The following is an 8,147-nucleotide window of genomic DNA, read 5'->3' as shown; positions in this document are numbered from 1 at the left end:
GATCAGAGGCGGGGTAGGGCGTCCACGGGGCCAGCAATCGGGGCGGGGCGGGGTGATTGGGGGCGGGACGGGGAGATCAGAGGGCGGGGCGGGGCGCTTTGCTCTGGACTCTGGGGCGCTAGGCTCCGGACTCCGCGGCGCAGACTGCACCTCGCAGTCTCCCCAGGTCCGCCCAGCAGCCGCGCTTCAGCCAGGTAAGGGCGCCGCGGGCGGGCTGGGGCGGCCCCGGGAGTGCGATACTCCGGGCGAGGACGGGTGGGGAGGGGGATGAGCGCGGCAAGAGGCGGCTTCCACACGCCCCTCGAGGAACGGGGAAGGATTTTCTCCCCTCCGTGCCGCAGTGAGCGCGGGTGCGCCGTCTCTGGGTCCCCTCTTCGGTCCGGGAAGGAGGGACAGGTGCGCGCAGTGGCGCAGCCTCGCCTTCCTGCCGGCAGTAGATTCTCCACTTCTCCAACTCCCGCACTGACCTCTCCTAAGGAACACCCGCCCCTTTTTCTTGAAGTTCCAGGCCTGAGGCCGCCCTGCGGCAAGTTCAGCGTTGGGGTCACGTCCCAGCGGCGAGCAGGGCTGATGCCTCCTTTCGGGTTGGGCGGCGGCGCGATCTTGATTGAAATTTGGCAGTGTCGAGATAGATATACCTAATGTAAATGACAAGTTAATGGGTGCAGCACACCAACATGGCACATGTATACATATGTAACAAACCTGCACGTTGTGCACATGTATCCTAGAACTTAAAGTATTAAAAAAAAAATTTGGCAGTATCGGCCAAGATGTTCCGCAGTTGCACGTGACTCACCCAGTGAAGTTCACGTTCTCTTCCCCACCCCCCCAATACCCCGCCCACCTCGCCCCGGGAAGTTGTGTTTGAATATTGAAAACAGGTGCCCGGCCAATGTATGTACTTCTTGGAAAAACTAGGGCCTTGACCTGGGAGTGTACACTTTCCTAATTTTCTTTAATCCTAAATTTCTTGTGGATTTTATTTTATTTTATTTTTCCCGTGGACGTGTAACATGGTGGTGTGTACCAGGTTTGGAAACAATCTCATCCATTGCTATTCTTTGGAAACTGGAATATTTGATTCGAAAGATTGATCTTAATGTTAACTTGGAACAACAGGATGGCTGGTGGCTAAGTGGGTTTGAAGATTATCCAAAATAGTTATAAGTTTTGCGCGTATTCCTTGTATTTTTCCAGTGAATGCTCATTTTCCTCTTGGGAAATTCTGAGAATTTACTCACTTCTAGATTATTCTCTGCTAAAGAGCTGGGAAGAAACAAACCAGCGGATCTCCCAAATAAAGTTTGGGATTTAACAGTTTAGGTCGTGACACTGGTAGCTGCTTACTCTGCAATAATCACCTGGAGTAAGGGATATTAAGATTTATTTCTAAGGGGAAAATAGAAGTATGGGTAACTTTCACATTATGTATTTGAAAGTATTTTTTAGTTTAGTTACATTTTCAATGTTTACGGAAGACTTACACTTTCCCCATACTCCAGTTAATCTGATCCATATATTACACTCTTGCCAACGCAGATGCTTACTGTGGTGTGTTTATGTTAATGATCTTGACTCTTCTCACAAGGGTGTGTACATTCTGGTCTGTGGAACTGTATAGGCCAAGTGTAAACTCATGCAGTCAGTGCTTTACTCTAGTTGGCAATACCTTTGCCCCACATAGGTCCAACTAGAATTTTCACATCTTCCCAACTAGGAAAGGATATAGAATATTAATGTATGCTCTAGCATTTTCAACCTACTTTATTCTTTATCAAGATAATCATGTTTTCTCAGCAGCTAGTTACTCAAGGGCAGCAGCTATGTTTTACCAAACCGTGGAAAATAAAGCTGAGATAATGGTAACCTTTGCTTCCTTAAGTTGACCCTTGATAGGGAGGTTGGAAGGGTTGTGAGCAGTGTCTGGCCTACTTTTACGCTTGGGGAAGAATTACTGGCCTCTCTGCCTTTCTCCGGGTATCCAGAGTGCTGGGAGACAGGGCCTTGGGCCTCCAGCCACACCTCTGCCTACAGGTTCCTCCAGGTTGACCAGGTTGGTGCCTCTCCTCCCTGCCCCAGCTGTTCCAGCTCCTTAGCTTCCACCCCACCCCTCCCAGATTCTTACCCCTAGACAAATCACCATGTTGTTCAGGGCAGGGGTACTTGGTCTGCAGAGTCAGCATGAGTGTTGATCTTCAGCATGGTGCTGGTTCCCCGTGGATGCTCCTTGGATGTCTGCTGCTTCAGAGCCTTTATTATGCTCCCTTCTTGTCCAGTCTACAGCAGGCAAAGTGGAGTTACTGAAGTCAAACCCAGATCAACAGTCTTGGGGGCCAGCTGCCTTGGTTGGACTAATTACGATCATAAATTGGGCATTCAAGTCTGTTGGAAAAAAGTGAAATTGGCTCATGGTCACTGGCAATTGTAAAATTATCCTGTACGATGTGGTTATGCTATTATAAAAGGTTTGTGGAAAAATAAGAAACAACCCAGAAGGAAGGGGCCTAGTAGTTGCCTCCACCTCCAAACACGCCTGTGCTTGGGCTTGCCTTATTGTCACTACCCCAGCTCAACCAATTCTTCTGGGATTGGATTGTAACAATTAATTTCCCCACCATGTTTGACTGCTCAGAGCTCAGATGACCGCAGCTACTGTAGTATAGATGTAGAGAATTACATACTCTTTTGTTTAGAGAAACAAGGATGGGCTTTTTCAAAACAGATTGTTATTAGGGAAACAAAGAAAAAGCAAACAAATGTAAAAATGTGTGGGCACAGAAGCCAAAGTTTGTTTTGTTATGGTTTATAGTTTTAAACTTTTATCCAAGTTACATTTCTCCCTTTCCAGAAACAACCACTTGTAATTCTTTGCCATTTGTGGCTTATAGTTGATACTTCTTGATTTTTCAATTTTAAGCATTATCTGTTGACTTCCCACTGTGGAAGATGATGAGTTGGCTCTCTTTTTCCCTCCAACCCCCAACGCAAGTACAGCTTCCCTATTTTCCCATTCTTGCAGTCGTTAAAACAGAATATTGAATAATGGTTAGATCAAAATTCACAGCTAAGCCAAGCATAACTTTTTTTTCGTTTTTTTTTTTTTTGAGACAGAGTTTTGCTCTTGTTGCCCAGGCTGGAATGCAATGGCACGATCTTGGCTCACCACAACCTCTGCCTCCCGGGTTCAAGCGATTCTCCTGCCTCGGCTTCCTGAGTAGTTGGGATTACAGGCATGTGCCACCACGCCTAGCTAATTTTTGTATTTCTAGTAGAGATGGGGTTTCTCCATGTTAATCAGGCTGGTCTCAAACTCGTGACCTCAGGTGATCTACTTGCCTTGGGCTCCCAAAGTGCTGGGATTACAGGCGTGACCAAACATAACTTTTTATTTTCCTTGGAGTTAATAATGGATTTGTTTGTTCATTTTATTTATTTTGTGCTCTTCATTGATTAAACCCACAGCTCTTGGCCAGTTTTCCAAATTCTCCCTCAATTGACCAGGTATTTTGTCAATTTCGTTTTCCTCAAGAAGCTGTTCCTGAGCCTACTGGCTTGCTATAATCCAGACTGGGTGCCTTTGGTACATTGGCACACTTGTCACCCCAAGGGTTCCCTTTGTCATCATTCTGGAGATTCTCATCATTTGTCTCTTGTGTTGGATCTCCTGGTACTTGTAGCACATGTCTTCCTCAGTCTTGGTTGACTCCCTTCTTTTGGTAGAGCCCATCCTAAAGGAGCTTCCTGGAATAGGATGCCTAGAGGTCTACTTTTCTGAGACTGTAGATGCCTGAAAATGTGTTTTCAACTGACAATTGATAGTTTGACTGAGTGTAGATTTCTAAGATGGCAATTTTGAAGGCATTGTTCTATTGACTTCCACATTGTGGTATTGCTGTTGAGAAATTTAGAACTCTACTGATTCCTCAGCTTTTTCTTGTAATCTGTGTACAGGTTACAATTTGCTGGGTCCTCCCTGAAGTTTATAGAATTTTCTCTTGGCCTCCACAGTCCTAAAATTTCACGACACTGTGCCTAGGTTTGGGTCTGTTTTCATGCATTGTGTTGGGCTCTTTGAATCTGGAAACTTTCATTCTTCAGTTTGGGAAATTTTCTTAAATTATGTCATTGGTGGCCGGGCGCAGTGGCTCATGCCTATAATCCCAGCACTTTGGGAGGCCAAGGCAGGCCGATCACCTGAGGTCAGGAGTTCGAGACCAGTCTGGACAACATGGTGAAACCCCATCTCTGCTAAAAATACAAAAATTAGCTGGGCGTGGTGGCTCACCCCTGTAATCCCAGCTAGTCAGGAGGCTGAGGCAGGAGAATTGCTTGAACCCAGGAAGCGGAGGTTGCAGTGTGCTGAGATTGAGTCACTGTACTCCAACCTGGGAAACAGATTGAGACTTTGTCTCAAAAAAAAAAAAAAATATATATATATATATATACACACATATATACACACACGTATATATGTGTGTGTATATATGTATATATATACGTATATATGTGTGTGTGTATATATATGTGTGTGTATATATATACATATACACACACATATATATATATATCTATCTCATTGGTAATTTTTCCCCCTCTATTTTCTGTGTCTGTGAGAAGCTCATATTGTTCAGATATTGGCTATTTTTGACTGGGCCAAAAATAAGTTTTTCATGACTGTAATCATGAATATTTAAAATCAAAATCTCTATTTTTTTGGTTGCCTGAATATATACATATATATTTGTATGTGTGTGGTTTGTGTGTCTATTTCTTTCTGGTTTTTGTTTTATAGTGTCAGTGTCTTTTCCTTTCTCCCTAAGAAGCTTAATGATTTTTTGGAGCAACTTTTTTTCCTTCCTGCACAGATTGAATTTCCCAAGCGGCTTTTGTCTTTTCATTTGTTTAGGTTTCTTCTCTTTCATGTTAGAAGTTTTCCTTGTGTAACTAATGCCCTTGGTTATCTACTCACACTTCAGAGGGGGATTAAAAAGCAGAAGGTCTGGGGTTCAGGCAGGGTGGCTCACGCCTGTAATCCTAGCACTTTGGGAGGCCAAAGTGGGCGGAACACTTGAGGTCAGGAGTTCAAGACCAGCCTGGCCAACATGGTGAAACCCTCGTCTCTACTAAAAATAAAAAAAATTAGCCAGGCGTGGTGGCGTGTGCCTGTAATCCCAGCTACTCAGCAGGCTGAGGCAGGAGAATTGCTTGAACCTGAGAGGCTGAGGTTGTAGTGAGCCGATATGATGCCACTGCACTCCAGCCTGGCAACACAGGGAGACTCTGTCTCAAAAAAAAAAAAAATGCTGAAGATGTGGATGAGCTTGTCGACTGGGGAATTCATGGTAGGGGGAATCTGGCTGGGCTTTTTATTTGGGGAACCTCTGTGGTCGTTACCTCTTGGGCTGGTGAGAGTCCTCAGAGAAGCCTTTTCCATTCTTTTCCCCAGAGATTGACAGAGAGCCTGGTTGTCAGTAAGTGGAAAAGAAGACTGGAAGTCTCAGCATCCAGTATGTAGATGTGCATATAACCCCTCCATGCTGTTTGTGTACGGACCCCCTGAAGGGTGAAGGAGTAGGGAGGAAACTCCAGGTTTTTTGCTGGGGTAGAGAAGGGGCAGTCACCTAACTGGTTGGAGTGGCCAGAGGGATCTGTGGGATCCAGCTTTTTAAAAAGACTTTAAAAAGTCACTAATTTTTTAGCCCACCCCTCTTTTTATAGAGGGTTCAATTGCCTTTAATTATTTAACCTTTTGGAGATTCCATGGTGTAAATCAGATTATTTCTTGGCTTCTGCTTATTCCACCAAAATGTTTTTGCTATTGTCTCTTCACTCATTCTCTCCATCCTTGCTGATTTATACATGAAATAAAAAAATTTCTTTATTGTCATTGTCTTAGGCTTTCAGAAGGGAGAGAAAGTAGAGGTTTTTGTCCAGTCTGCTAATAGTGGCTAGAGTATAATTTCTTTACCAATCTCTATCCAGAGACTGGCACCATTCAGTCATAGCAGTGTGTTGCTGTTTTCCCCTTCCTCTACCCACAGGAAACATTTTCGGATCAGGCTGGGCCGCTGAGCCGAGTTTGGACCTCAGATGCCTTCATATACAACTCTAAGTGTACACTACCAATTGATCATAGTTGTCATAGGGGGCAAAACCTATATCTTAGGTTGGGTGGTACGTAGATTACTGGCATAGAGCCCTTGTTCCTGTTTCTTTCTTTCTTTCTTTTCTTTTTTTTGGCGGGGGTGGAGACAGTCTCGCTCTGTCACCCAGACTGGAGTGCAGTGGCATGATCTCAGCTCCTGGGTTCAAGTGATTCTCCTGCGTCAGCCTCCCGAGTAGCTGGGATTACAGGTGCACGCCACCACACCCAGCTAATTTTTGTATTTTTAGTAGAGACAGGGTTTCACCATGTTGGCCAGGCTGGCCTCGAACTCCTGGCCTCAGGTGATCTGCCTGCCTTGGCCTCCCAAAGTGCTGAGATTACAGGTGTGAGCCACCGCCTGGCCTATTGTTCCTGTTTCTTGAATTCACTTTGTGTAGGATGACTCTTTCTGCCATCTTGACCTCTGAATGTTTTACCTTTCAGTGAAGTGCAGCTTCTATTAAGTCCAATATTATTTTAATCTGAAAGATGGGATTGGTGTCATTGATGGCCATGTGGCCTCAATGGAAGTTATCATTATTTCCTTCTGGAGGCCAGTTTATCACACAACTGCCTTACCAGCAGCAGCACCCTTACTTCCCTTTCCACTTGTGCCCTCCTTGGAATGTGAACCAAGTTCCTGTTTCTGGCTGGGCTGATGTACCCTGCCGTTTGTGGATGATCACGACTTTCCCAACGTCATTTCATCAGTTGAGTCATTCCTCAGGCTCCCTTAATGGGCTGTGAACTTCCAGCATGCTCTCCCAGTTGCTTTGTAACATCAACATTCTTTATGGTTACACACATGATGACAAGAGTCAGTTTCCACAAAAGTAGGAGGATAATTGTTCCTAAGCCATCTTATCTGTGCAGAAAAAGCAAAGCTCGATCTTCCCATGATGGCAGCTATGCATTGGCAATACAGAAAACAGGAGTGCTGGCGATTGTGACAATGGAGTGGGTGCAACAATTACTTTATCTTTGGAGGATGACAGATGGTTAAAAAGGCTTTTTCAGCAGGTACCACTAGGCACCATTGTGAACAAAAGCTTGGCTAGTAGGGATACTGCAGAGCTCATTCCTCCCACTGTGCTTCCACAAGCATCCTTCCCTTTTCTAAACGAAGTCTTTGAAGTCATTGGAACCTCCCTTTTCCAGGCAGTATAGTTTTTCTGTAATGTACTGGGTCTTCACAGAAGTTCTTTCCTAGGGAAAGCATAGTACCAAGCAAGTACTTAATATACTGAATGAATTTTCCAGACAATTTTGGACACTTTATAGTTAAGAAAAAATGATATTTGGGCCAAGAGTGGTGGCTCATGGCTGTAATCCTAGCACTTTGGAAGGCTGAGGCAGGTGGATCACTTGAAGTCAGGAGTTCAAGACCAGCCTGGCCAATATGGTGAAACCCCATCTTTACTAAAAATACAAAAATTAGGTGGGCCTGGTGGCACGTGCCTGTAATTCCAGCTACTCGGGAGGCTGAGGCAGGAGAATCTCTTGAACTCAGGTAGCAGAGGTTGCAGTTAGCTGAGATCGCACCACTGCACTCCAGCCTGGGCAACAGAGCAAGACTCCGTCTCAAAAAAAAAAAAAGAGACATTTGGTCACAATTACCCAAGTTGTACTCAACAATCTAAATTCTCTAAATTCTTGATTAGACTTTCACATCACTTGTCTATATATGGATTGAAATATAGAGCATTCAATTTAAGTTTTCTCAAGTGTATTGTTTCTTGTATTATTTAGAAATATTCTTCACTGAAAACATTCTTGAAAGGACAACATACATTATTATCATTATTTTCCATCTGTATATTTTTTCTTAGCATAGTGTTATGATTATCTTAGTTTTTATGGCTACAAAGAATGGCTTTTGGAGGAGGGAGGGAAGTAAGTATTCATTATGTTATCTCATCAGTTTTATGTTTCTAAAGGAGGAACACTTTTGTTTGGATTTCTACAATATATACTTTTGCCTTTTGTAACTATATGTCAT

The 8,147-nt window shown here is 44.1% G+C and overlaps 1 protein-coding gene across 1 annotated transcript in view, besides 2 other annotated features; it reads left to right on the top strand.

Annotated features, from left to right (window-relative positions):
* Window positions 39-108: a silencer, noted in NCBI's record as "silent region_15405". NCBI's record gives its function as "represses an Ori minimal core promoter by ATAC-STARR-seq in GM12878 lymphoblastoid cells {active_cell/tissue: GM12878}" and the evidence as "EXISTENCE:reporter gene assay evidence [ECO:0000049][PMID:35858748]".
* TEC (tec protein tyrosine kinase) overlaps window positions 108-8,147 on the top strand; it is a 134,056-nt gene continuing 126,016 nt past the window's right edge. The window contains exon 1 of the mRNA NM_003215.3: window positions 108-194. The gene's annotated coding sequence lies outside the window, so the exon portion shown is untranslated. The remainder of the gene's footprint in view (window positions 195-8,147) is intronic.
* Window positions 169-298: a silencer, noted in NCBI's record as "silent region_15404". NCBI's record gives its function as "represses an Ori minimal core promoter by ATAC-STARR-seq in GM12878 lymphoblastoid cells {active_cell/tissue: GM12878}" and the evidence as "EXISTENCE:reporter gene assay evidence [ECO:0000049][PMID:35858748]".

The sequence above is a fragment of the Homo sapiens genome, chromosome 4 (genome assembly GCF_000001405.40).
Source record: "Homo sapiens chromosome 4, GRCh38.p14 Primary Assembly".
Classification (NCBI taxonomy): domain Eukaryota; kingdom Metazoa; phylum Chordata; class Mammalia; order Primates; family Hominidae; genus Homo; species Homo sapiens.
This window is presented reverse-complemented; position numbering and strand designations above follow the sequence as displayed.